The 27,864-nt window shown below is 46.1% G+C and overlaps 1 protein-coding gene and 1 pseudogene across 32 annotated transcripts in view, besides 6 other annotated features; one reads left to right on the forward strand and one right to left on the reverse strand.

The window, feature by feature from the left end:
• Nucleotides 1,172-2,201, reverse strand: RPSAP5 (ribosomal protein SA pseudogene 5; annotated as a pseudogene).
• Nucleotides 11,449-12,440: an enhancer, noted in NCBI's record as "H3K27ac-H3K4me1 hESC enhancer chr14:103850577-103851568 (GRCh37/hg19 assembly coordinates)". NCBI's record gives its function as "activates a minimal SCP1, AML or CMV promoter by ChIP-STARR-seq in naive H9 embryonic stem cells {active_cell/tissue: H9 hESC(naive)}" and the evidence as "EXISTENCE:reporter gene assay evidence [ECO:0000049][PMID:30033119]".
• Nucleotides 12,441-13,430: an enhancer, noted in NCBI's record as "H3K27ac-H3K4me1 hESC enhancer chr14:103851569-103852558 (GRCh37/hg19 assembly coordinates)". NCBI's record gives its function as "activates a minimal SCP1, AML or CMV promoter by ChIP-STARR-seq in naive H9 embryonic stem cells {active_cell/tissue: H9 hESC(naive)}" and the evidence as "EXISTENCE:reporter gene assay evidence [ECO:0000049][PMID:30033119]".
• Nucleotides 12,441-13,560: a biological region, named in NCBI's record as "H3K27ac-H3K4me1 hESC enhancer GRCh37_chr14:103851569-103852558".
• The window catches only part of MARK3 (microtubule affinity regulating kinase 3), a 118,417-nt gene continuing 103,176 nt past the window's right edge, over nt 12,624-27,864 (forward strand). For 25 of the 32 annotated variants that reach the window (NM_001128918.3, XM_005267641.6, NM_001128919.3 and 22 more), the window contains exon 1: nt 12,624-13,289. In NM_001128918.3, the coding sequence (NP_001122390.2) occupies nt 13,239-13,289 (51 nt within the window). In that variant the 5' untranslated portion in view covers nt 12,624-13,238. Of the gene's footprint in view, nt 13,290-26,036; nt 26,251-27,864 lie in introns of those variants that run through there. The other 7 variants (XM_047431377.1, XM_047431379.1, XM_047431387.1 and 4 more) reach the window with 4 other exon arrangements.
• Nucleotides 12,901-13,090: a silencer, noted in NCBI's record as "silent region_6151". NCBI's record gives its function as "represses an Ori minimal core promoter by ATAC-STARR-seq in GM12878 lymphoblastoid cells {active_cell/tissue: GM12878}" and the evidence as "EXISTENCE:reporter gene assay evidence [ECO:0000049][PMID:35858748]".
• Nucleotides 13,371-13,560: an enhancer, noted in NCBI's record as "active region_9102". NCBI's record gives its function as "activates an Ori minimal core promoter by ATAC-STARR-seq in GM12878 lymphoblastoid cells {active_cell/tissue: GM12878}" and the evidence as "EXISTENCE:reporter gene assay evidence [ECO:0000049][PMID:35858748]".
• Nucleotides 26,959-27,758: an enhancer, noted in NCBI's record as "H3K4me1 hESC enhancer chr14:103866087-103866886 (GRCh37/hg19 assembly coordinates)". NCBI's record gives its function as "activates a minimal SCP1, AML or CMV promoter by ChIP-STARR-seq in naive H9 embryonic stem cells {active_cell/tissue: H9 hESC(naive)}" and the evidence as "EXISTENCE:reporter gene assay evidence [ECO:0000049][PMID:30033119]".

The raw sequence follows: 27,864 nt of genomic DNA on the forward strand, positions 1-27,864 counted from the left end.
AGCAGAGCTGAGTGAACAGAATCTTGTTCTAACAACTTCCCAGGCTCCACACTGCCTTGCCATGCTGAGCTGTCCATGTGAGGTCAGGGATTTGTCAAGATGAAGGGCTAGACCTTTGAGGGTTTTGCTCTTTCAACTCTGCTCTTGTCCTTGACCTGAAATTATACTAGCGGCAAAAAAAAAAAAAAAAAAAAAAAAAAAATGATGACAGCTGATGTGTGCTGGGGAAAATGATGGACAGTCAGAACCATTGTGATCTTCAGATGAGGAAGCTCAAGTTCAAGGTGGGAAGGAAGGCTATAGGCAAGGCCGCTTGGCAGCCAAATGCAAAGTCACGGTAGAATCTCCGTCTCCCGGTGACCATCCCCCATCAGCCTCCTGCATGGAACCCATAACGAGGGCCAGAACAGTGAAGGGTCTGCTGTTAGCTATGCCCTGGTGCACTGACTCCCAGGTAAAACCAGATCCACAGAGGAGAAGGGAGTGAGGATTATTTATTTATTTATTTGAGATGGAGTCTCACTCCGTCACCCAGGCTGGAGTGCAGTAGCATCATCTCGGCTCACTGCAACCTCTGCCTCCCCGGCTCAAGCCATTCTTGTGCCTCAGCCTCCCGAGTAGCTAGGATTACCGGCATGTGCCACCACGCCCTGCTAATTTTTGTATTTTTAGTAGAGACAGGGTTTCACCATGTTGCCCAGGCTGGTCTCAAACTCCTGGGCTCAAGCGATCTGCCCTCCTCAGCCTCCCAAAGTGTTGGGATTACAGGTGTAAGCCACTGTGCCCAGCCACCACTACCCTGATTTTTGTGTTTTTCATCCCCTTGTGTTTTTTTCAATAGTTTCATTCTATACGTTTGCATCTTTAAACAGTATGTTGTTTGGTTTTGCACGCTTTCATTTCTGAATCACGCTATGTGTATTCTAAGAATTGCTCTGGTTTTTTAAATAATATCTCAAGATTATGATACTGAGATGCATTCACATTGTGTGTAGCTGTAAAAATTATTCTCTCTGTTATATACTATTTCTTTGTGCTAATATGCCATTTTCTGTATTCGTACGGATAATGGACATTTGAATTGTTTCCAGTGTGTTTCTATAACAAACTGTAGTGTTACGACTATTCTTATACATGTTCCCGTGCATATGTTTGAGAGTTGTTTTTTTTTTTTTAGAAACTGATGTCTATTTTCCATCAACCTTATTTCCATGTTGCTGAAGAGCCCGTGCAAGAACAGCTTAAGACTATTCAGTGGTTGCTCCTACCCCTTCAGTGGCCTGAGCAGTGGGAGCTGCAGACCAGTCTTCCGTGGCAGGCTGAGCCCTCCAGTCTTCAGTAGGGAACTTCTGAATAGGCACAGAGGGCACCTAAACGCCGTCAGACCAGTCTGCAACCTCAGGCTGAGTAGCAGCTGAGGAGCTGGAGCAGTCCATTCACCCTGAAATTCCTCTTTCGTCTCAGCCTTTTCAGCAGCAGCCTGCTCTTCTTTTTTAATCTCTTGAGGATCTCTGTAGAAGTAGAGATCAGGCATGACCTCCCACGGGTGTTCACGGGAAACGGTGCCACGCATGCGCAGAACTTCCCGAGCCAGCGTCCACCACATCAAACCCAATGAGTGAGCTCCCTTGTTGTCACATGGGATGGCAATGTCCCCATAGTGCAGAGGAGAATCTGTGTTACACAGAGCAATGGTAGGTAGGTTAACATAAGATGCCTCCATGAGCGGCCGGTGGTCAGCCCTGGGGTCAGTAACCACAAGAAGCCGTGGCTCCCGGAAGGCTGCCTGGATCTGGTTAGTGAAGGTTCCAGGAGTGAAGCGGCCAGCAACTGGAGTGGCTCCAGTGGCAGCAGCAAACTTCAGCACAGCCGTCTAGCCAGTATTCCTGAATGATATGGCACTAACATCAGCAGGGTTTTCAATGGCAACAATGGCACGAGCTGCCAGCAGAAGCTTCTCCCAGGTCCTCCTCAGATTTATGATGTAGATGCCATCACTTTTCCTTTTACAGATGTACTGTTCCATCTGGAAGTTAAGCTTGGTGCCACCTAAGTGGGTTCCTGCCACAAGGAACTTAAGGACATGCTCCTCCTTCATTTGCAGGACATCAAAAGCTCCGGACCTTGTGAAAGTTTCCCTTTAAGTTACAGTGAGAATCCAGAACAACGCCGTATGGACCCCTCTGTGGGTAGCGCGGAAAGCGGGAGTTTCTGTTTTTTTCTCTTTTTTTTTTTTTTTGAGATGGAATCTTACTCCGTCACCCAGGCTGGAGTGCAGTGGCGCCATCTCGGCTCACCACAGCCACCGCCTCTGAGGTCCAAGTGATTCTGCCTCAGCCTCTCGAGAAGCTGGGATTACAGGCGTGGGCCACCATGCCCAGCTAATTTTTTTGTATTTTTAGTAGGGAAAGTGTTTCACCATGTTGGCCAGGCTGGTCTTGAACTCCTGACCTCAGGTCATCCACGCCTCGGCCTCCCAAAGTGTGAGGTTATAGGCATGAGCCACTGTGCCCAGCCGAGAGTTTCTTTAGGGCAAATATTTTGGGTGGAATTGCTCAGTTGTAGGGGCCACACAACTTCAACTTTAATTGCTAATGTCAGATTGTTGTCCAAAATGTCAATTTTACTGGCTTTTGCCAAAGAACTAAGTTTTGGCTTTGTTGAGTATGTGATCTTTGCACTGTGCTTCACTATTTTCTGCTCTTACCTTGAACTTACACTCCCAAGCAGGGTCTAAGAGTGCCCACTGAAGCCAGGGGCAGCAGCTCATGCCTGTAATGCCAACACTTTGGGAGGCTGAGGCTGAGAATTGCTCGAGCCCAGGAGTTTGAGACCAGCCTGGGAAACATAGTGATATCTCATCTCTACAAAAAACAATTTAAAAAAAATTAGCCAGGTATGATGGCTCATGCCCATAGTGCTAGTTACTTGAAGGTTGAGACAGGAAGATTGCTGGAGCCTAGGAGTTCGAAGCTGCAGTGAGCTATGATCATGCCATTGCACTCCAGCCTGGGTAACAGAGTGAGACCCTGTCTCTAAAAGACAATAAAAAGTTCCCATTGTTCCATATTCTCAGCAGCACTTGATATTGTCAGACTTTTTCATTTTTGCCAATCTGGTGGCCAGTACATGGTAACTTATTATGGTCTTTGCGCTATAGATTGTTTGTGTCCATCCAAATTCATATGTTGAAAACTAAACCCCAGCTGGGCACAGTGGCTCAGGCCTATAAACCCAGCACTGGGATGCTCAGATTGGAGGATCACTTGAGCCCAGGAGTTCAAGACCAGCCTGGGCAACATGGTGGAAACCCGTCTCTACAAAAAATATAAAAAAATTTGCTGGGCATGGTGGTGAGTGCCTGTAGTTCTAGCTGCCTGGGAGGCTGGGGTGGGAGGATCACCTGAGCCTGGGAGATTGAGGCTGCAGTGATCCATGATAGCCCCACTGTACTCCAGCGACAGGGTGAGACTCTGTCTCAAAAAAAGAAAACTGAACCCCAGTGTTTGATGGTATCGAGAAGTGAGGCCTTTGGAAGGTAATGAGGTCAGGAGGGTGGATCCCTCCTAGAAAAGAGCCCCAGAGAGCTCATTCGCCCCTTCTGCCATGTGAGGACACAGTGAGATGATGGCTATCCATCTGTGAACACAAAGCCAGCCCTCACCAGACACTATGTCTGCCAGGGCCTTGATCTTGGATTTCCCAGCCTCCAGAACTGTGGAGAATAAATTTTTGCTGTTTTTAAGCCACCCAGTCTACGGTAGTTTGTTATAGCATCCAAAATGGACTGAGATAGCTTGCATTTGCAATAACAGACGACTTTAAGTATTTGTTCTTATTATTTATCAACCCCCAAGTGCCTGTTGTTGACTTTTGCCTATATTTCTATTGGGTTGTTGATCTTATTAAATTATAGATCTTTCTTTCTTTCTTTCTTTCTTTTTCTTTCCTTGTAATGGAGTTTTGCTCTTTTTGCCCAGGCTGGAGTGCAATGGCATGATCTCGGCGCACTGCAAACTCTGCCTGCCAGGTTCAAGTGATTCTCCTGTCTCAGCCTCCTGAGTAGCTGGGATTACAGGTGCACACCACCACACCTGGCTAATTTTGTATTTTTAGTAGAGGTGGGGTTTCACCATGTGGGGCAGGCTGGTCTCGAACTCCTGACCTCAGGTGATCTGGCCTCCCAAAGTGCTGGGATTACAGGTGTGAGCCACCGTGGCCAGCCAATTATAGACATTTCTTATATGGTATGGATTTAAATCCTTATCAGTTATAACTTCTCCCAGTTTGAGGCCTGCGTTTTTACCCTCTTTATGGTGTTTTTGAAAAACATAAACTGTTAAAAAAGCTTTAACTGTGTATTCCTTTGCAGCTTTTTATTTTGCACTATGTGTACTGAGGAACAAAAGAAAAAAATGAAATTTGAGACCAGACGTGGTGGCTCATGCCTGTAATCCCAGCACTTTGGGAGACCGAGGCAGGCAGATCACAAGGTCAGGAGATCGAGACCATCCTAGCTAACACGGTGAAACCCTGTCTCTACTAAAAATACAAAAAATTAGCCGGGCATGGTGGCGGGTGCCTGTAGTCCCAGCTACTCGGGAGTCTGAGGCAGGAGAATGGTGTGAACCCAGGAGGCGGAGCTTGCAGTGAGCCGAGATCGCGCCACTGCACTCCAGCCTGGGTGACAGAGTGAGACTCCATCTCAAAATAAATAAATAATAAAAAGAAAGAAATTTGAATTAAAACCAAAGAGCTTAGTCTGTATCACCCTCCCCTGATTAAATTTTTAAATTACAGTTCTCCTGTCCTGAAATTATATTATGCATGAGTTCTGCTATGTGTGTCCTGTGACCTGAGAGTGGGCAAGAACTTTCTCTGTTCACAGCTATGTCCTCAATGCTTCAAACATAGCTTTGCCCAAAGTAGGTGCTCAATAAACACTGTGGATGGAAGGAACAAAGGAAGGAGAGAGGAGTAGCGGGGCAGCCACCGAAGGCTGATGTGGCTTTTCATGACTCCACCCAGTGAGGCCCAACTGGCTCCAAGGGTAGGGCAGCAGCCTAAGGAATGGAGGAAATGGTCTTTCCTCAAGCAGAGCTTAGACTTTATTGTCTTGGAAAAACCTGTTTGTATTTGGGAGATGTGCTTACTTTAATAGGTCAACCCTGCAATAATGGGCAGGTCTGAGGCTCCAGGAGTGCTGGGGTAGTCTATTCACCCCCTTATTCTTTCTCTCTATCCTTTTTTACCCACCTGCCTTGCAGCCAGTGGGTGTCAGAGCCAGCAGCAGACTGGAGTCTAAGGGCACTGCTTTCTGTCCGTGAGCTTGAGAAGGCTTCTTGCCCTTCTGAATCTCCAAGTCCTTGCCTGCAAAGCACAGGCAATGATAAAAACACTAACGCCTTATCTGGTGTTGCAGGATCCCTTACCAAGGGCTTCTACGTCTCCTATCGTGAGCTCAGTACTCAGTGAGGTAGGCAAAACTGGAGGAGGAAACCGGGGAGGAGGAGTGAGTCTCTAACTCCCCACGCTGTGTGGCCTAATAAGCCTTGATCTGTGTTCTACAGACTCTGAGCTCTGTGCTCCTCTCTGGGGAACAGGTGGAAAGGGCAGCCCTCCAGGAGGTGGTGAGTCCTCTGAGCTTTGGAAGGGTGGACTCTGCACCTGCTGCGCTGGTGCTCTCTGGGAATTTTCTCCACGGACCTCCAGAGCAACTGTGAGTGGTAGCTGTTACCATTCCCATTTGACTGGTTCAGAAACCTTGCCTGAGGGACATGAAGTCACTTGCCCAAGGTCCCCCAGCATTCAGCGTCATAGTCAGAGTTCAAACTCCAAAGCCCTTGCCTCTGCCTCACCACTGTGGTCTCCCTAGACCTTTAGATATAGTTCCAGACAGTGGGTTTTCCCAGCTCAGAGCAGAGTGGGTCATGGGACAGGGCAGGCTCCAGAGGGCTACGCTACCAGAATCTGGTAATGACAACTGTGTATGTGTGCGTGAGAGGCGGCTGACCGATCTAGATGGGGACTGACCGATCTAGAACTAGATGGGGATCAATCATCTTCAGCAGATCCGAGAGCTGGAGAATTACTGCAGGGGCAAATGGCTCTTTCTCTCCTGCATCCCCCAGGGCCATCTCTACACTGCGGTGAAGCATGGGACGTGGTAAAAGGACACCTTTGAGCTGTGGGAAAAGCTGACACGATTTTTCAGAATAGTGTGTTTAGGAAGGCGGGGGCGCCCATGTTCTTCCCGAGAGGCGTTCCATCCAGAGCTATCTGGAAAGGCTGGGGTACTGGAAGCCAGAAGGTGGAGAATCACTGATGCAGCTCTACTGAGTTTTCAGCTGGGCCCCACCCACACTGACCTAAGCACAGGAGGTTCGAGGGCTCTCCACTGACCAGGAATGAAAGGATCAATTGCAGAGTTTCGGCCTTGGAGCCCAGTCCTGGCTCTCCCTTTGCTTGCTCCTGACGTTGGAAGAGTTACAGCCCCTCCTGAGTCTCAGTCAGTCGCCTCTCACGTGCCCATTGACGTCTCACAGGCTGTTGGAGAGTTAGGGGGTCCTAGCATAGGTGTCTTGTGCCAGGTACACAGCTGGAGCTCAATAAATGTACTGTGACCTCAGGCAGGAAAAGCCAAGGAGGGGCGGGCCACCCTGGGGGCTGGTCTGCAGAGTCTTCAGGGAAGAAGCCAGGACAAGGACAAGGACCCTGGATGAGGACAGGATGAGAGGATGGCTGCATAACAGCAGGGAGGCTTTGGGCAGGCAGGGGAGCCTTTCCAGGTGAGTGAATGGCAGGAACACAATCTTGGAAGTGAGAATTCCTGGGGTGCCTTCTGGGCCTTGAAGCAGGGCTCACAGAGGGCAACAGGACCCCGCTGGAGTGAAGAAGGGGACTGGAGGGTAAATTAAAAGAATAGCAGCTTGTCTGCCCTCATCCCCGGTGTGGGGGGAGCAGCCTGGCATGGAGTCCAAATGGACCTCATATTTCCCAAAGACTCAAAGCATCTGGGGCCTACCTGGAATGTCCCAGGAACACCTACTGCCCGGCCCCTCCTCTTTCCCCTCACCAAGCATGATGACTGCAATGTCTCATAATTATCACACTCTGCTTTTCTCCATCTCTGTGGCTTTACATATTCTCAGTGTTCAGCTCTTGGTCTGCAACATATCTGCGTACAAACACGCACACACACACACACACACACACACACACACACACACACACACACTGAGGAATGGCTCCCGGGTCCCAGTAGTTCCCACTCTCTGGTAGAGGAGTTGTGTTTGTGAGGGCTGTGATGGGGTGACAAGCCTGCAGCAGCCTTTCCATGTTCGTCCAAACTAGATGTGGTGCAGAGAGCACAGGCCTGTGGATCAGCAGATGTGACACTTAGCATGATGGTACTGGTTAGGATCAAGCTAGGCAGTAACACACAACCCAACTGTAGTGGGTGCAACAAGCAGGTGCTTATTTTTTTGCAGAAGAAATCAGGAGGATGGCAATCTCACTGCTAGTGCAGGTGCTTGAAGCTGCCATCGGGGACCCAGATACTTTCTGGTGATAGTGTATATGGGGGGCGTCTGCTGGAGCTTGGGAGATTTGGACCCCCATTCTGGCTCTGTTGCTAACTAGTTGTGCAGCTTCAGACAAAGCTTCTGAAGCTTTGACTTCATTTCTTTATTTGTTTTTAAAATTGCAGGCTGAGTATAGTGGCTCCTGCCTGTAATCCCAGCACTTTGGGAGGCTAAGGTGGGAGCATTGCATGAGGCCAGGAGTTCGAGACCAGCCTGGGCAAAATGGCAAACCCTCATCTGTACAAAAAAAAAAAAAAAATACAAAAAATTAGCTAGGCATGGTGGTACATGCCTGTGGACCCAGCTACTTTGGAAACTAAGGCAGGAGGATCACTTGAGCCCCGAAGTTTGAGGCTGCAGTGAGCTGTGATTGTGCCACGGCACTCCAGCCTGGGTGACAAAGTGAGGCCCTATCTCAAAAATGAATAAATAAAATTGTGGTAACAACATATAACATAAAACCATCTTAACCATCTTAACCATTTTTAAGTGTACAGTTTAGTGGCATTGAGTACATTCATACTGTTGTGCAATCTGTCCTCATGTCTCTTTTCTTTCCAAACGGAAACTCTCCCTATTAAGCAAGAACTCTCTATTTCCTCCTCCCCACTGGCACCACCATTCTGCTTTCTGTCTCAATACATTTGACTGCTCCAGGTAACTCATAGAAGAGGGATCATACAGAATTTGTCCTTTTGTGTTTGACTTATTTCACTCATCATAATGTCCTCAAGTTTCATCTGTGTTGTAGCTAATGTCAGAATTTCCCCTCTTTTTAAGGTTGAATAATATTCCATTGTATGGACATACCACATTTTGTTTAGCCATTCATCTATGGATGGACACTTGGTTTGCTTTCACATTTTAGCTATTGTGAATAATGCTGCCATGAACATGACTGTGCAGATATTTCCTTGAGACTGTGTTTTCAATTCTTTTGGGTATCTATCTGGATGTGGGATTATTAGATCCTATGGTAATTCTATTTCTAATTTTTTTCAAGAAGCATAATACTGCTTTCCATAGAAGCTGCACCATTTTACATCCCCACCAACAGTGCACAGTTTCCAATTTCTCCACGTTCTTGCCAAAATTTGTTATTTTCTGCTTTTTTGGTAGCAGCTATCCTAATGGCTTTGAGACTCAGTTTCTCGTCTGTCCCACAGGGACATAGTAGGGCTAGATTATCTCTAGCTTCTGATGTCTCATGGTGCCTTCCTTCTTGCCATGAAAGTAAGTATTGCTTATGCACATATACATCTTAGTAAATTTAGTTATATCTTTTCAGCTTGGGGCCCCAAGGTAGAAACTATTTTAATATGAAGACAGGAAACAAGAAATATGAAAAGGGATTGAAGAAGGCATTCCAAGGACAACTTCCAAACCCTCCTCTCTATTCCTTCCAGACCATAGATGCACATAATTCTGGGCCACAGAGAGTCCTTTGGACAGAACAATACTTTACTGTTTCTTCTCTTCCTCTCCTTTTCTTTTTTGCTTGTAATTCACACACCCAGGTGGCTAGGCGCAGTGGATCACACCTGTAATCCCAGCACCTTGGGAGGCAGAGATGGGAGGGTTGCTTGAGGCCGGAAGTTCAGTCTGGGCAAGACTTGGTCTCTAAAAATAAATTACCTAGGTATGGTGGTGCATACCTGTAGTCCTAGCTATTCAGGAGGCTGAGGCAAAGAATCACTTGAGCCCCGGAGTTCAAGGCTGCAGTGAGCTATGATCACACCACAGTGCCCCAGCCTGGACAAGAGAGCAAGACCCTGTCTGGCTCAAGCAACAACAAAGGAAGGAAGGAAGAAGGAAGGAAGGAAGGAAGGAAGGAAGGAAGGAAGGATGGATGGAAGGGAGGGAGGGAGGGAGGGAGGAAGGAAGGGGAAAAAGAGAGAGGAAGGGAGGGAGGGAGGGAGGAAAGAGAGAAAAAGGCAGGCAGGCAGGGCAAGAAAGAGACAAAGAGAAAGAAAGAAAGAGAGAAAGAAAGAAGAAAAAAGAAACACACACACCCATCTCCCACTCTTTATAGTGTCATGATGTCATTTAACATAAGTGCAAGGAAAAGTTCAAGGCGTTTAATTCTAGCTTTTACAAAACCCAGAAGCATCTTGAGTTAAGTACTATTATCTTCATTTCCTAACTTTTGGCATTCGCTGACTCATTATTTCATATGTGGCTTGGGTGAGAAAAGCATCTGGGTGGCAACCTCCTCCCCCAGCTACTTCTCTGGCCAATGGGGACTGTTCTGAACTTCCCATACACTTTCTCGCAGCTTCTGCCTGAGGCTGAAACCCTTTCTGGGGTGTTTTCCCAACTGTCATCAGGATGGGATGCAGAACCAGGTGCCATGCTCTGTCCAAACCCTGCCTGGCTCCGGCCTTCTGCAGTCTCACTTCTCACCGCTCACTCTCCTGATATTTACCCAGACCCACCGTGTGGCTTCTCATTGCGGTGCTCATCAGGCCATCCTTCTGCTTGAACTGTCCTTTCTACCCATCCTCCCACAGCTAACTCTGCTCATGCTTTTAGACTCAGCATAAACATCCTCTCCCCCAGGAAGCCTTCCCTGATCCAAACCCCCGAGTTGAGCTAAATGTCCCTGCTTGGGTCTCCCACAACACTTATGCTCACCCCGTCTTATCATAACCAACATTGCAGTTGAAGTGTGTGAAGCACACATTTAACTAATGGAATTCCACTAACTCCTCTTGGCCAGAAGGAGAAAGAGAATAACTTTATTTATTTATTTACTTATTTATTTATTTCTGAGGCATGTTCTTGCTCTGTCTCCCAGGCAGGAGTGCAGTGGGCATCATCCTTCTGCCTTTTTTTTTTTTTTAAGTTTTTGTAGAGACAAGGTCTCACTCTGTTGCCCAGGCTGGTCTCCAACTCCTGGGCTCAAGTGACCCTCCCACCTCAGGCCCCCAAGTAGCTGGGATTACAGATGTGCATGCCGTCTCCCTATTCACATTTTATTTTACTTTATTTTGTTTTTTGAGACGCAGTCTTGCTCTGTTGCTCAGGCTGGAGTGCAGTGGGCTGATCTTCGCTCACTTCAACTCTGCCTCCCAGGTTCAAGAGATTCTCTCACCTCAGCCTCCTTAGTAGCTGGGACTACAGGCACACACCACCGTGCTTGGTTAATTTTTTGTATTTTAGCAGAGATGGGGTTTCACCATGTTGGCCAGGCTGGTCTGAAACTCCTGAGCTCAGGCAATCCGCCCACCTCGGCCTCCCAAAGTGTTAGGATTACAGGCGTGAACCACCGCGCCCGGCCCCTATTCACATTTTAAATAGAACCACTCTTGGCCCCCTGACCACTCCTCTCTGAGGGTTAGATGGGAGCCCTGAGTGTTACCTTAGTCCTCAGGTGTTTTAACATTGGGAGCCTCTGGCCTCTCTGGGAGTGAATCTGGCGTTTAAAGATACATATATTTGGCCGAGCGCAGTGGCTCACGCCTGTAATCCCAGCACTTTGGGAGGCCGAGACGGGCAGATCACAAGGTCAGGAGATCGAGACCATCCTGGCTAAGACGGTGAAACCGCATCTCTACTAAAAATACAAAAAAAATTAGCCAGGCATGGTGGTGGGCACCTGCAGTCCCAGCTACTCGGGAGGCTGAGGCAGGAGAATGGCGTGAACCCGGGAGGTGGAGCTTGCAGTGAGTGGAGATCGCGCCACTGCACTCCAGCCTGGGCGACAGAGCGAAACTCCGTCCCAAAACAACAACAACAACAACAACAACAACAAACATATATTTCGTGGAGCAAGAAATGTCTCAAACATAGCAAGAGAGTTGGGATGCCAACGGACCAAAGGGAAAGCAAGCATGACATAGCCCCCCACTACAAGGGCTTACCTATTATCCAAGCTTTGGGAGCTAGGTTAGAATCCCAGCTCTGTCGCTAACCAACCTGTGTACTTTAGCCAAGTCACTGTACCTGTCTAGACTTCGGATCGCATGTGTGTCTGCCCATCTCATAGGGTTACCCTGAGGCTAAATGAGGTAACAAATGTCATGAACCCACAAGGTAGACTCGACTCTCGGTAACAGTTCGTGTCACCCCCATCTCACACTACTCTCCCTCTTCGGACCCTGCACCCATGGATTCCATCCACCGCTGGCCAGGAGCTGAGTAGAGGCACCGAGCACGTGAAGAGGTGAATGGGCAAGGAAGGCTTCCAGGTCAGGTAGCATTTCCAGTGTTCCAGCCTGCAGGCATCTACCGAGCCTGGCCCGAGGCTGGCACCCAGAGATGCTTCCAGTCTTCCAGCAGCAACGCACTGACTGTAAGAAAAGCCTGCTTATAAACCCCCTACAGGCATTTGGAAGCTGGTCCCTGGGGTCCTCTACAGATTCATTTCGCCCCCAAACCCATCCCCTTTGTGCCACCCTCGTTATTGCACTCTTCCATCCGGATGGCATTTAGCTGGGTCCGGGTCTGTCACCCGTCTGACCACCAGCTCCTTGAGGGCAAGAGGCGCCTGCTGCCCTCAGGGTCCGCGCCCAGCCCGCAGCTGCTCAGATCCGGAGACGGGAAGGTTTGTTGGCGAGAACCTGACTCCCGGGTCACAGTTAAGGATGCAAGAGCCCGGCGCCTTCCCGTAGCCCCGGCCCTGTCATTAATTAATGCTGGGGCTCCATTCGGTGCAGCGCAGTCCCAGGGATGCAACCGCAACTTTTGCGCACAATAGGCTCTCGATCTGTAATCCAGCCAACCCAGGCCTGTAGTGTGTAAATGCCAACTCAGCGGGAGGGCTCTGGCTGTCGCCCAGAGCCGTTTCTCGGCTCTTTCGCGGTTGCCGGCGCGCTCGGGACAGGAGGAACCCGCAGCCCGCGGGAGTCAGCGGAGACCCGACCAGCACTATCCAGCCCTCTGCACCGCCCCCGCGGCGAGGTCTGGACCAAGTCGCCCCTAGCAACAACAGCCGGGCCGGCTTTCTCAGGCCATGCTGATTGGCGGGACTCCGGGTGGCGGCCTGTCGTCACTTCCGGCAGCCGGAGGCAGCAGAGGAAGCCGAGGGGCGGCCATCTTGGCTCCGTGAGGCTCTGAGGTGCCGGGGTGCGGCGGCGGCAGCGGCGGCCAGCAGGGCGGAGGCTGAGGCAGCAAGCTCGCTAGAGAGGGAGAAGCAGTCGGGCGCAGGCGCCTCCTCCGCAGCCCGCTCCATGGTCGGCGCCCACAGCCCGCGGCGGCCTGTCTTGCGCTCCACTTCCTTCACATCCTCCTCCGCCTCCTCGTTTTCAGGCGCCGCCGGCGGCGCTGTGTGGAGGCCCGCGAGCTGAAATTCGCGGTGCGACGGGAGGGAGTGGAGAAGGAGGTGAGGGGGCCCAGGATCGCGGGGCGCCCTGAGGCAAGGGGACGCCGGCGGGCCGAAGCGCAGCCCGCCGCCCGCAGGCTCGGCTCCGCCACTGCCGCCCTCCCGGTCTCCTCGCCTCGGCCGCCGAGGCAGGGAGAGAATGAGCCCCGGGACCCGCCGGGGGACGGCCCGGGCCAGGCCCGGGATCTAGACGGCCGTAGGGGGAAGGGAGCCGCCCTCCCCACGGCGCCTTTTCGGAACTGCCGTGGACTCGAGGACGCTGGTCGCCGGCCTCCTAGGGCTGTGCTGTTTTGTTTTGACCCTCGCATTGTGCAGAATTAAAGTGCAGTAAAATGTCCACTAGGACCCCATTGCCAACGGTGAATGAACGAGACACTGAAAACGTAAGTAACCTGGGCGTTGTAGTTGGCGGACCTTCGGGGTGGCATTCGTGCTCCTCGGGCAGTGCCTTGCAGTCGGGTGTTCCCCCCAGCCGAACGCTCTGGAAATAGAGGGCAGGCCGTAGTCACCCAGGAGGCAGCCAGGTCGGACCGTTTCCTCCAGAAGTCTGCCGTGTCCCGCTGTTCGCGGGCGGGTCTGCGAAGTACATCGATTATGCCGGCAGTCTAGTCGGTTAATAAAGCCCAGGAGTTGCAGCGTTACGGATCGGTGCTTTGAGAGGCCAGGTTGCCGCGCAATGGATTGTGCAAACGTGTGTGTCAGATCACTGCAGTGGTCAGTGCTTATTTTAGCCGAACTCTGCTTTTAACTTGGTCAGGCAGTTCTTGAGAGACTGTCACATTAATAACATATGTTACCGGTGCTGATTAAGAGTAATCGATTGGGTCAAGTGGGCGGTCTCGTTCTTTAAGATGGTCTGGAACTAAATTTAATCACAGTCACTAAGTGTCCACTGAGGGATCTTTGCGGTCCCCTTAGGAATTCCAAAACACTAGCGCGCAGCCTTTATTAAGGCAGTTTCCTTTCCATACAAATCTTTTTTGAAGGAGTTGGTTAAACATTTTGAAAAGCAGATGTATAGTGAAGCTCTGCTCTGCCACTCACTGCCTAGCTGAGGGACACCCGCTGGGGGCTTCGCTGTCCTCCTTCCTAAAAAGAGATTGGCTTAGATGAGCTCTTAGGTCCCTTTCAGCGCTCACAGGCTATGGTTTTATAAAAGGAACCTTTGATTTTGTTCATGTGAAACTACAAAATGCCAGGAACAGCATTGCTAGAGAATGAGAACTTGTAGTAGAAATTCCATTGAAGAAACGTTTGACTCTGTTCGTTTTCTAACTCTGTTCTCCTCTAACACTGGGTTCAAAAGTGTTTCAATCTAGTTGTTGACTATATTCTGTAAAACATCTAGTAAATAATTTGTAAAGAAACTTCACTGGCCTTTCATTAAAAGTGTTATGAGGTAATTGCTGGCACGAAATGTCTTCTCTTAGGGAATGCTTCCTTGCTTTGAGTGTTTTCATGCTTTCAGTAATGTCCTGAGATGTTGTGGCCTAGTGGAGTTAATGCTTTCATTTTGATCTTCAAAAATGCCGCTTGTTTGCTGGATAGCTGTTTGATAATTTAATCCGTAAACGTAAACCATAGCCTAAAGCATCCCTGTAGCATATTAGTATACAATATTTAATGCTCTGTGGCCCTGAGTAAGTAGAACAGTGATGTACCTTTCTCCACCTGAGATAGATTAGAAAATTATATAAAGAGTGAGTAATAGAAACTCTTAGACTAGGTGAGTCAGGGAACTAATTTCCTTATAGTCCTTTTAAAGAAACCTTATTTATTTGTTTATTTATTTATTTATTTACTTATTTATTTTTTGAGACAGACCGAGACTGTCTCCCAGGCTGGAGTGCAGTGGTGCGATCTTGGCTCACTGCAGCCTCCACCTCCCAGGCTGAAGTGATTATCATGCCTCAGCCTCCCGAGTAGCTGGGATTACTGGCGTGCACCACCACGCCCGGCTAATTTTTGTATTTTTAGTAGAGACAGGGTTTCACCATGTTGGCCAGGCTGGTCTAGAACTCCTGGCCTCATGTGATCCACCCGCCTCGGCTCCCCAAAGTGCTGAGATTACAGGCATGAGCCAGTGTGCCCAACTGATTAGTTTTGATCATTGATCTTCACTCAGAGAAGCAAAACCTTACATTGAACCAGAGTAGGAGCTCCATGCTTTCTAAACTGAAGCCAAAAACAGTCATAGCAGATTTGTGATAATGAAGGATTTCAAATGGGTCTTTTTTCTTTCTTTCTTTTTTGAGATGGAGTCTGGCTCTGTCTCCCAGGCTGGAGTGCCGTGGCATGATCTCGGCTCACTGCAACCTCCGCCTCCCGGGTTCAAGTGATTCTCCTGCCTCAGCCTCCTGAGTAGCCAGGATTACAGGCATGTGCCACCACTCCCGGCTAATTTTGTATTTTTAGTAGAGACGGGGTTTCTCCATGTTGGTCGTGCTGGTCTCAAACTCCCGACTTCAGGTGATCCTCCCGCGTCAGCCTCCCAAAGTGCTGGGATTACAGGCGTGAGCCACCACGCCCAGCCATGTAGTGTATTTAAAATGAATTTTTGACTTTTTTTAAAAATCAAGTTTATCACACATCGTTGCATTAATTTACCATGCCCTGTTACATTTTTAACTCTTGCATTGGCATGTTCTGGAAGGAGCTGTGTAGCTTTCACAGTGTGGAGCCCTTGTGTCAGTGTTATAACTCAGGTATAGTCCATATTAATTACCTACATTACTGCACTGCTAAGTATTAGACTTCCTGCCAATTGAGTGGTGAATGTACAAGAATGAATGGGAGCTCTCATTCTGTTGAGAACCTTTTTTCTTAAAGTTAGGTTTGTTGAGATGTAATGTTCATCTGTTTTAAGTATACAGTTTGGTGAATTTTGACAAGCGTATAGTTATGTAACCGCTATCACAATCAAGATGTAGAACACTTCCATTGCCAGAAAGGTCCCTTATGGCCCTGTATAGTCAGTGCCCTCTCCCTTTCTTAGCCCCTGGGTAACCACTGATCTGCTTTCTGTCCCTGTAGTTTTGCCTTTTCTAGGATGCTATGTAAATGGAGTCACAGTGTAAATAATCTTTTGTGTCTTCTTTCACTTAGAGTAGTGCTTTTGAGATTTATTTGAATGTGTATCAGTATCAGTAGTTCATTCCTTTTTATTGCTGAGTAAGTATTTCCTTGTTTGGATGTGCCACAATTTTTTTTAATCCACTCACCAGTGATGGACATTTTTGGCTATTGTGACTAGAACAGTTTTCTTTTAGTATTCTGTAAAAATACTTTTTATTGTGCTTACCCCAGGAATCTTATTTAAATTTTAAGTAATTGTATATAACTGTGATAAGAATGTCGCTTATTAGATCAAGACTAAGAAAAGGCAGGCCGGGTGTGGTGGCTCATACCTGTAATCCCAGCACTTTGAGAGGCTGAGGCTGGCGGATCACGAGGTCAGGAGATCGAGACCATCCTGGCTAACATGGTGAAACCCTGTCTCTACTAAAAATACGAAAAATTAGCCGGGCGTGGTGGCAGGCACCTGTAGTCCTAGCTACTCGGGAGGCTGAGGCAGGAGAATGGCATGAACCTGGGAGGCAGAGCTTGCAGTGAGCCGAGATTGGGCCACCACATTCCAGCCTGGGCGACAGAGCCAGACTCCATCTCAAAAAAAAAAAAAAATTAGCCAGGTGCGGTGGTGCATGCCTGTAATTCCAGCTACTCAGGAGGCTGACGTGGGAGAATCACTTGAACACAAGAGGTGAAGGTTGCAGTGAGCCGATATCATGCCACTGCACTGCAGCCTGAGTGACAGAGTAAGACTCTGTCTCCAAAAAAAAAAAAAAAAAAAAGCAGACAACTTGCAACATTATCTTCATCCTTGTACACTAATTTGTTTTTGTTTGTTTGATTTCCAAATATTAATGTCCACCCTTAGTGAATGGGTATATAAAAGTTTACTGTTGGCCAGGTGCAGTGGCTCACGCCTGTAATCCCAGCACTTTGGGAGGCCGGGGCAGGTGGATCACCTGAGGTCAGGAGTTCGAGACCAGCCTGACCAAGATGGCAAAACCCTGTCTCTACTAAAAATACAAAAATTAGCCGGGTGCGGTGGCGGGCACCTGTAATCCCAGCTACTTGGGAGGCTGAGGCTGGAGAATCGCTTGAACCCTGGAGACGGAGAGTGCAGTGAGCTGAGATCAAGCCATTGCCCTCCAGCCTGGGCGACAGAGGGATACTCCGTCTCAAAAAAAAAAAAAAAAAAAAAAAGGCCGGGCGCGGTGGCTCACACCTGTAATCCCAGCACTCTGGGAGGCCGAGGCGGGCAGATCACGAGGTCAGGAGATCGAGACCATCCTGGCTAACACGGTGAAACCCTGTGTCTACCAAAAATATAAAAAATTAGCCGGGCGTGGTGGCAGGTGCCTGTAGTCCCAGCTACTCGGGAGGCTGAGGCAGGAGAATGGCGTGATCCCGGGAGGCGGAGCTTGCAGTGAGCCAAGATGGCGCCACTGCACTCCAGCCTGGGCGACAGAGTGAGACTCCATCTCAAAAAAAAAGTTCACTGTTGCTGCATCGTGTTATAGCTCAAAAGAACTACTCAATCTGATCCAGTGAGGTTGCTGAGACTCAGAGAGGTGACAAAGGCTGCTAGTAATGACAGAAGACCACTAACTATTTAGTAGCAAAGCCTCTACTGGGCCCCAGATCTCTAGCTTAGGCTCCACAAGGAGATGTAGTTGTACCTGTACATAGAGTATTTCTAAAACTTTTTTTTAAGCTTGTAGATCAGGGGTGTCCAATCTTTTGGCTTCCCCGGGCCACATTGGAAGAATTGTCTTGGGCCACAGATAAAATACACTAACACTAACAATAGCTGATAAGCTTTAAAAAAACTGCAAAAAAAATCTCACAGTGTTTTAACAAAGTTTATGAATTTGTGTTGGGTCACTTTCAAAGCTGTGGTGGGCTGCATGCAGCCCTAGGGCTGTGGGTTGGACAAGCTTGCTGTAGATTTTATTTTGATTTTGAGACAGTATCTCGCTCTGTCACCCAGGCTGGAGTGCAGTGGAGCAATCACAGCTTGCTGTAACCTTGACCTCTTGGGCTCAAGCAATCCTTCCGACTCAGCCTCCTGAGTAGCTGGGACTACAGGCGTGCCCCACCACATGCATGGCTAATTTTTAATTTTTTCGTAGAGATGAGATCTCCCTGTATTGCCCAAGGTGGTCTCTAACTCCTGGGCTCAAGCAGGCCTCCTGTCCCAGCCTCCCAAAGCACTGGAATTACAGGTGTGAGCCACCACACTCAGTCAAAACTATTTTTTAAAATATTTTATTATAGGAAAATTTAAAAAAATAGAATGTTATTTATCAATGCTTCTCAGCCACAGGGTGATTTTGCCCTCTAGTGGACATTTGACAATGTCTAAAGACATCTTTGGTTATCACAGCTGGAGAAAGGTTTGGCTGACCAGGAATGCTACTAAACATTTTACAGTACGTAGGACAGCCTTCCACAGCAAAGAATTACCCGGCCTAAAATGTCAGTAGTGCCAGCGTTGAGAAACCCTGGTATGTACTTAGCCCCCCATGTACTCAACAGCGCAGCTCAGTGGCCAATCTTATTTCATTTATAAATGAAGAAGCAAATGCAGTATCATTTCCTCTCTAAAGCTTTTAGAAGAGATAAAGCCTGTTTTAAGAAAAAAGCAATACTTTTATCATATTTTCTTAATATCAAATATGCAGTATTTAAATTTTCTCACATTTCTAATTTTTAAACTGTTCAAATTAGAATCCAGCTTGAATTCATACATTATAGTTGGCTGATATGTCAAATATGCTTTTTTTTTTTTTTTAATTGAGATGGAGTCTTGCTCTGTCGCCCAGGTTGGAGTGCAGTGGTGCAATCTCGGCTCACTGCCAACCTCTGCCGCCCGGGTTCAAGCGATTGTCGTGCGCAGCCTCCCGAGTAGCTGGGATTACAGGCTCCCGCCACCATGCCTGGCTATTTTTTTTTTTTTTTTTTTTTTTTTTTTAGTAGAGATGGGGTTTCGCCATGTTGGCCAGGCTGTTCTCAAACTCCTGACCTCAGGTGATCCGCCCGCCTTGGCCTCCCAAAGTGCTGGGATTACAGGCGTGAGCCACTGTACCTGGTCAAAATATGCTTTTTAAAGGCAACCAAACAGTTTGCATTTCAGTTTATGTTCTATAGTTATATGGAGCCACGGATACATCCTTTTTCTATACTGGCAAAATGAGAAACATATTTTTCACCTGAATTTCAAAGGATATGACACTTCGTAAGCCTGGTAATGTTATTGGCCAAAGTACCAGAGGCCCAGGGCTTTCCCAGTTATTTAACAGTTACTGATATGTGTGCATCATGTACTTATTATTAGTTAATGCAAATAGTCCCCCAAATTTCTGACCTCTGTGAAACTGATGATGCTGTTGTCTAGTCAGTCATCGGTTATGTGAGACTGAATTAACCTATTCAGCAAGTGTGAATGCCTACCGTGTGTATGATACTGTGCTAGGTGCTGTAGAGGCCATATACCTGGGACACATAGCTTTCCTGCTCTTTAGGATTTCCTGCTCCTTGCAGGACAAAGCAGCCTGAGCTTTATGAAACTAGTCTGTAACTCTCAAACTTAAGCAAACATTAGAATCACCTGAAGGGCTTTAGAACCGTGATCACTGGGCCCTACCCCTAGACCTTGATTTTACCCGTAGAATTGGAATTTCTAACAAGTTGCCAGGTGATGTTGATGCTCCAGGTCCGGGGACCACTCTTAAGAATCACTATAGCAGGAATTTCTGATGTTTATTTATTAAGAAAAAAAAATCACTGCCTTAGTGTGCAGTGAAGGCTTGCTAACTAAACTATACTCCTTTTAGATTGTACTGTGACTATCAAAGGAAGATTTCCAGACCATTTAATTGAGTTTTCAGGTTCCATGAGTTTAAAAAAAACTGTTTATTAAAAATTGTGGTTCTGGAAAATAACAATAGTTGCCATTTGGTGATCACTTAACTGTATACCAGCCAGCAATACTTTGTAGAGTATCTCATTTAAAATATGTAATATGGTTTTATTTAATTAGCTTTTTTTTTTTTTAAATTTCCTGAGGCGGAGTCTCACACTGTTACCTGGGCTGGAGTGCAGTGGCACGATCTCGCTCGCTGCAACCTCCGCCTCCCGGGTTCAAGCGATTCTCCTGCCTCAGCCTCCCAGGTAGCTAGGATTACAGGCAGCCGCCACCACACCCAGCTAATTTTTAAATTTTATTTTATTTTTTGAGACAGAGTTTCACTCTTGTTGCCCGGGCTGGAGTGCAGTGGCATGATCTTGGCTCACTGCAACCTCCGCCTCCTGGCTTCAAGCAATTCTGCCTCAGCCTCCCGAGTAGCTGGGATTACAGGTGCCTGTTACCATGCCCAGCTGATTTTTTTGTATTTTCGGTAGAGACTGGGTTTCACCATGTTGGCAGGCTGATCTGGAACTCCTGACCTCATGATCCTCCCACTTCCCTCCTCGGCCTCCCAAAGTGCTGGAATTACAGGCGTGAGCCACTGTGCCCCGGCTTAATCAGCTTGTCAACTTCTAAGCACAACCTGTTGAATCAAGCTGTTTGGGCCTTATCAGAAAAAAGTTGGCCTATAGTTTCAGCTACTCAGGAGGCTAAGGCCAGAGGATCACTTGAGGCCAGGAGTTCCAGTCGACCTGGACAACATGGTGAAACTATGTATCTTAAGAAAGAAAAAAAAAAGTTGATCTCTGAAGAATTCATGAAAATATTTAGTCAGTTTTCAGGGAAAGATCTTATAGACTTCAATTTGAGCATCCTTATCTTATGTATGTAAATGAGGTAAAGGTTGAAATTTGCAGTAAATAGAATTTTGGTCATTTAAGTTATGTAGCTCATGATATATACATTGTATAACTATTTAGACTTACATGGTGCATGATTTACATTGTAATTACATAGAGGCTTATACAGTCTAATAAAAATTAATATTAACTATTTGATTGCAAAGAGGATTGTTCTGCATTTTATTACTTTTTTTTTTTTTTTGAGACAGAGTTTCACTCTTGTTGCCAGGCTGGAGTGCAATCTCGTGACCTTGGCTCACTGCAACCTCCGCCTGCCAGCCTAAGTAGCTGGGGTTACAGGCACACACCACCATGCCCAGCTAATTTTTTGTATTTTTAGTAGGGATGGGGTTTCACCATGTTAGCCAGGCTGGTCTCAAACTCCTCACCTTGGGTTATCCGCCTGCCTTGGCCTCCCAAAGTGCTGGGATTACAGGCTTGAGCCACTGCGCTCGGCCTGCATTTTATTATTCTAAGATATAGCCAAATTTTATGCCTGGAATTTTTTCCTGGGCTGGAACAAATTCCTAGTAAGAGTCAGGGAATATTCCGTGACTTGTGGCTTTGGTTAAAAAAGAAAAAGGAGTCAGGGAATGCAGTACCCTCTGATCACCACTGGGAGGACTAAAGCAGAAAATTCATTTGTCTCATATCCATTTTCAAATTTCAAATTAAACATGAAGGAGAAAATAAATCTCTTACCTGGGAAGCTTTAATGTCCTGTCTCACACAAGAAGTTAAAGGTTGTGCTTGGAGTTGGTCTGCAAAAGTAATAAGGAATTTGTACTCACCCGTCTGCACCTGCTTGTACAGAACAATTGGAAGGGCAGAAGTTGGCTTTGAAAGAAAAGGCCTTTTTTTGGAGGTGGGAGGGGCATCCAATTTTGTCTTCAGCCGAGAGTTCGCTAGCACTACACTCTAGCCACTCAAGCTGCTCAACTATGGTTGGTCTTGTGTACTTCTGTGTGCACTAGATAAGACATTGTTTCTGTGGGTTATGTGGGACCTTGAAGTTCAGTGTTGAAGCTCAAACAAAGCAGGTGTTTTTTCTGTATTTCTTGTTGACAGGCATTTGCTTTTTGTTGGACCTAAATATTGTGGGGTTTGTGTATGGACATTTGACACAAAAATCTGTATTGGTAGAATTTAATATAAAATCAGAGAAGTTGAATTCACAGGTTTTGTTCATAGAATTTTACATAACTCTAGTCTTTTTTCTTTTTTTGTGATGGAGTCTTGCTCTGTTGCCCAGGCTGGAGTGCAGTGGCATGATCTTGGCTCACTGCAACCTCTGCCTCCTGGGTTCAAGTGATTGTCCTGCCTCAGCCTCCCGAGTAGCTGGGATTACAGGCACCCGCCACCACGCCTGGCTAATTTTTGTATTTTTAGTAGAAACGGGGTTTCACCATGGCCAGGCTGGTCTTGAACTCCTGACCTCAAGTGATCCACCTGCCTCGGCCTCCCAAAGTGCTAGGATTATAGGCATGAGCCACAGCGCCTGGCCACAATCTTACACTACTTTCCTGAAGGGATGTGTGATGGAAAGAGTCTGGGCTTGAAAGTGGAAGACAAAAATGAGAGTCTAAGACTGATCGAGATAAAGATTCTGAAGAGGTAGAATGGACCTCATAAGATGGAGCAAAAAAGAAGGAACAACATATAAAAGGAGAAATTAGAATTTAGAGTTATAGACTGGAATTTGAAACTAGTCTTGAGATTTAACTGTGGACAAATTCACTCGGCTGTGCCTCATGGTTTTTTTTTTTTTAAATCAAAAGAGAATAACATCATTCAAGTTGTGTCTTGGTTTTTTTGTTTGTTTACTTAGATTTTTATGACTTCACTTTCTCAATTTCCTCTGTGGCCAGATTCATCAGGCATTCAGTCACTTTCATCTCTGTCAGGCTGGCCTTGTGTTCTGTCTGTCTGTTCTGCTGCATAGTTGTCATCCTGAGATCTCCCTTCACCCATATCCTAGGGATTCCCTTTGCCTTTCCTGTTCGATCCATTTTCTTCCCCTTGGTTCACTCCCAGGTTTCATTGCAGCAGTTCCTCCAGTGATTTTCTGAGAAAGTTGCTCAGAGGTAAATTTTTAAAATCCTTTCATATCTGCAAACATCTTTATTCTGTTCTCATACTTGATTGATATTTTGGCTGCATATAGAATTCTAGACTGAATGCCCTTTTTCCTCAGAATTTTGTTTTCTGTCTTATATAGCATCTGACACTCCGATTTGGAGAGAGAGAATGCTATTTTGAGTCTTGCTTATTTTTCTGTTTGTTTAAGGCTGATTGGAAGTTTTGTGCATTTGGATGGATCTTGAATACAACAGTGGGACACACTGTTATTTCTTTGTGGTGCTCTTGATACCAATATATTTAGTCTTATCACTTGGCCTAGGCAAGCACGGAATGCCCATGTTCCAGGGAGCTGAGTCGGGAGAGGGCAGAAGGAAAGATCTGTGGCTTTCTGCTTTCTCTGCTTGTTTTCAGTGTCCCTGCCCTCAGTTGTGCCCTGTGTCCCCAAGCCCAGAGACTTTCCATTTTGCCCTTTCTAAAGAACCTCCAGTTTTTTGCCTGAGTGGGAGAGGAGACCCGGGGGTCTGTTATTTAACAGACTGATAGATCTTCTTGTTTCAGGCTTACTTCACTCACACTTCTAGAGGTACTTGTACTACCAGTTCCTGAACCTTTTGAGAGTTCTATAATACAAATCAGGATTTTCCAATATCTCCATAGCTGGCTTAGGATTAATCTTTCTTATATGTGTTAAGTCATTTTCCTTCTTTTTTTAGTTTCTGAAAGTATATCTGTTACCACTTTTATTTTCTTTGTCTTGTGGCTTTTTTCCTTATGCCTTATATTTTTTTCCTTTACTTTCATATTAATGGAGTTTGGAGAGGGAGGGGAAGTAAATGCAGCCATGATTTATAACCAGACTTGGATTAGGTGTTTACATATGTCAATACATGTCTTTAAAATTTAGCTAGTACTTGTTATTATAAATAACAAACTAAGATTGATAGGCTTCTTGAAAAATTGGCGGTAAATTTGGCTAATGGTGGGTTGTTGTAGTAGAGTAGCGTTTCCCCTTTTCACCCAAGCTTTGTTACCTCTTCTTGGGTGGTGCCTGGCCTGAGATGTCCTTCATCTCTCATAAGAACTCTCCTACTTGCCCTTTGAGGACTCCATCCCTTCACATCTTGGGGTACCTTTTTTCCTTCATCTCACCCAAATGTGATCATGTCCTTTGGGTGCCTAGAGCTGCATTATCCAGCACAGTAGCAACTAGCCACATGTGGGGCTACCAAGCACTTGAAACGTGGTTAGTTTGAATTTAGGTGTTCTGTAAGTATAAAAGATAAACCAGTTCAAAGACAGTATTTCAAAAATAGGATATAAAGCCTTTTTATATTATGCATTGAAATATTGGGGGGTATATTGAGTTAAATAAAATGGTATTTAATTTAACGTATTAAATATGTTTCTTTTTACATTTTTTAATGGAGCTACTAGAAAATTGAAAATTACATATGTATGTCACATTATACACCTATTGGACAGCATTAGAGTATTCACTCTGATTTTCTCTTGGGGCAGGAATTGCCCCTTGTTTCAGTTGCTATTCCCCCGTTAGCACCCCGTGTATATCATGAGTGCCTTGAAGGTTTGACACCACACTTTTCTGTTTCTTTTATTCCCTGCTAATGCCTACCATATAGTTGACTAGCCGAAAGTTACTGAATAAACATTTTTTTTTTTTTTTTTTGAGATGAAGTCTCACTCTGTCACCCAGACTGGAGTGCAGTGGTGCGATCTCGGCTCACCGCAACCTCCGCCTCCCAGGTTCAAACGATTCTCCTGCCTCAGCCTTCTGAGTAGCTGGGACTACAGGCACCCGCCACCATGCCTGGCTAATTTTTTTATTTTTAGTAGAGATGGGGTTTCACCATATTGGCCAGGCTGGTCTCGAACTCCTGACCTTGTGATCCTCCTGCCTCAGCCTCCTAAAGTGCTGGGATTACAGGCGTGAGCTACCGCACCTGGCCTGAATCAAGATTTTTTTAGCCACAACTTGTGCCTTACAAGTTTTTTATTCTAAGGATTAGACAAGTAAATTATTTTTCACCGTATTACATTAGTTCACCTACTATACCAGTAACAATTATTTTATTCAAAAGTGAAACAGATTTTACTATATTTATGGGACAATAACAGTTCCCCCTTCCTATTCATATTCTTAGATGCTTTCTCATAAATTCAGCTGTGAAGAGTCACATTATCTTTGATCCATGTGAGACTATCTTCTTGTTTTATCTACTCCTGTTAGTCTCCATATGTCATTACTCTTACCCTCCACCCCACGTTACTGTTTTAATGTGTTTAGTATGTGTATGTGTTCTTACATAGTTTATTTTGGTATGTTTGGTACTTTATGTAAATATTACATATGTCTTATCTGTGCGCTTAATATATTGCATCTAACTGCTGAATAGCAGTGAGATGTATGCATCTACCACATTTTACCAGTCTGCTCGCCAGAGGTGCACATGTTAATTTTCTCCAACTCTGTCACCACAAAAAAAATGCTTCAACATCTTCATGCATGTCCCCTTATGGAGCAATGTAAGAGTTTCTTTGGGATATATAGCTTGGAATGGACTTGATGGGTCACAGGAAATGTCAGATTGTTCTTCTAGATGGCTGCTTCCATCAATAGTGCACCACAGTTTTTGTATTCCCGTTTCTCTGCCAACATTTCAGAGCTTTCTGCCTTTTCCCTATCTAACAGGCCTAAGGTGATACTACATTGTGGTTTTAACTTGTATTTCTCTCTGATTTTTAGAATCTCTTTATACATTCCTTGGCTTTGGGTGCATTCTTGTTTTTTGCGGGGGTTGGTGATTTTTATCAAATCAAGGACAGACATCCCATTCTAATCCTAGTTTGCTATAGGAATTTTGTGGGGGCTTTTTGGTAGAGACAGGGTCTTGCTATGTTTGCCCAGGCGGGTCTCAAACTTCCGGGTTTAAGCAAGCCTCTTGCCTCAGCCTCTGAAGGTGCTGGGATTACAAGCATGAGTCACCATGCCTGGCCAAGAGTTTTTAAATTATAAATTGTTCAATCTTATCAAATCCTTTTTCTATGTTGAATGAAATAATTGCCTAGCTGCTTTCAAAAGTGAAACGTGACTTTGTGAATATTTCTAAAGTACAAAATACTTGGAGGACAGCCATTTATTGTCACAACTTGGCTTTGTAGTTTGTTTTTGTTTTTGTTTTTTAACATTTGGAAACCATACCTATGTGTTAAGTAAGTGGCTTGTGATTTAAGGAATAGAATGCATGTAAGGGCACACTTCTTTTGTTTTACAGAAGGGATCAAGTTCTGTTCAGGAAGATTTGAAACATAGTGTAAAGTTGTTGCTGTTTTAAACTTGTAAACCTGATTCTTCTCATGTGGGAGGTACGTAAGTAGGCCTCTCAGATTTCAGGTTGGTTCTCTGCCTGGTAGATACAAGGGCAAAACTATTCTGGAACCATATTGATGTTAAAAAAATTTTTTACGGACTTCCTGCCGGCAAGGATTTTTTTAAAAGATTTTTTAAATGTGTCTAAGAAATGTTTTAATTTGTCTTCTGATTATACAGTGATTTACAATTCATGCTTCTTTTATATGTGGGCAAAATTAAGAACTAATATGTAAAACAAAATGGAGCACATTCCCATTTTTCTTATTGCTTTGAGTTGATATGGCCCCTATGTCAGTAGTGCTTTGGCTGAACGTCACAAAGACCTAACACAGTGCCCTAAACAAATAGGGGGTTTGTTTTTCTCCAAAAAGAAATTTGGGGTAGGGTGCGGTGGCTCACACCTGTAATCCCAGCACTTTGGGAGGCCAAGGCGGGTGGATCACGAGGTCAGGAGATCGAGACCACGGTGAAACCTCGTCTCTACTAAAAATACGAAAAAAATTAGCCGGGCACGGTGGCGGGTACCTGTAGTCCCAGCTACTCGGGAGGCTGAGGCCAGAGAATGGCGTGAACCCGGGAGGCGGAGCTTGCAGTGAATCGAGATGGCGCCACTGCACTCCAGCCTGGGGCAACAGAGTGAGACTCCATCTCAAAAAAAAAAAAAGAAAAAAAAAAAAAAGAAAGGAATTTGGAGGTATGCAGCGTCTAGCTTTGGATCAGCAGTTCAGTAATATTGGAGTTGGTGGTATTTTAAGGTAGTTTTGTCTTTTCTGTCATGTTTGAGACCCTGTAGCTACAGGATAATGTTTTACAGTTACAGCTACATGGTTGCATTCAAGGAAGGAGGAAGGAACTGTACTGGCAACTCTGTCCTTACCCCCCCACCCTCCTTTTTTTTTTTTGAGATGAAGTTTCTGTCACTCAGGCTGGAGTGCAGTGGCGGAATCTCAGCTCACTGCAACTGTCGCCTCCCTTGTTCAAGCGATTCTCATGCCTCAGTCTTCTGAGTAGCTGGGATTACAGGCATGTGCCACCATGCCTGGCTAATTTTTGTACTTTTAGTAGAGATGGGGTTTCACCATGTTGGCCAGGCAGGTCTCAAACTCCTGACCTCAGGTGATCTGCTAGCCTTGGCCTCCCAAAGTGCTGGGATTACAGGTGTGAGCCACAGTGCCCGGCCTCCCCTTTTATGATAAACAAAGGCATTACCAACCCCTACCCCCTACTACATTGCCACCTAGTAGACTTTAACTAATGAGAACTGGCCAGAACTAAGCCAGATGGCTATCTCTAGCTGCAGAGAAGTTTGGGAAAACAAGTATTTGGCCAATGTGGTCTCCCTAAACACGTGTTCAACTTCTTGAAGAAGGAAATCTCATGTCTTTGGCTGTATTCAGCATTTTTCAGTAGCAGTTACATATTCTAGTTTTCATGGTGGATGAAGTGGTACCAGCTTAGTTCCACAGGAGGGAGAAGAATCAGGACTCATTTAATCCATAAGAATTAAACTCAGCAGCTTTTGAGTACCCATTATGTGCATAGTCTGCCATGAAATATTATAAAGTAGTCCAGGTATGGTGGCTTACACCTGTAATATCAGCACTTTG

This window comes from Homo sapiens, chromosome 14 (assembly GCF_000001405.40).
Source record: "Homo sapiens chromosome 14, GRCh38.p14 Primary Assembly".
Classification (NCBI taxonomy): Eukaryota; Metazoa; Chordata; class Mammalia; order Primates; family Hominidae; genus Homo; species Homo sapiens.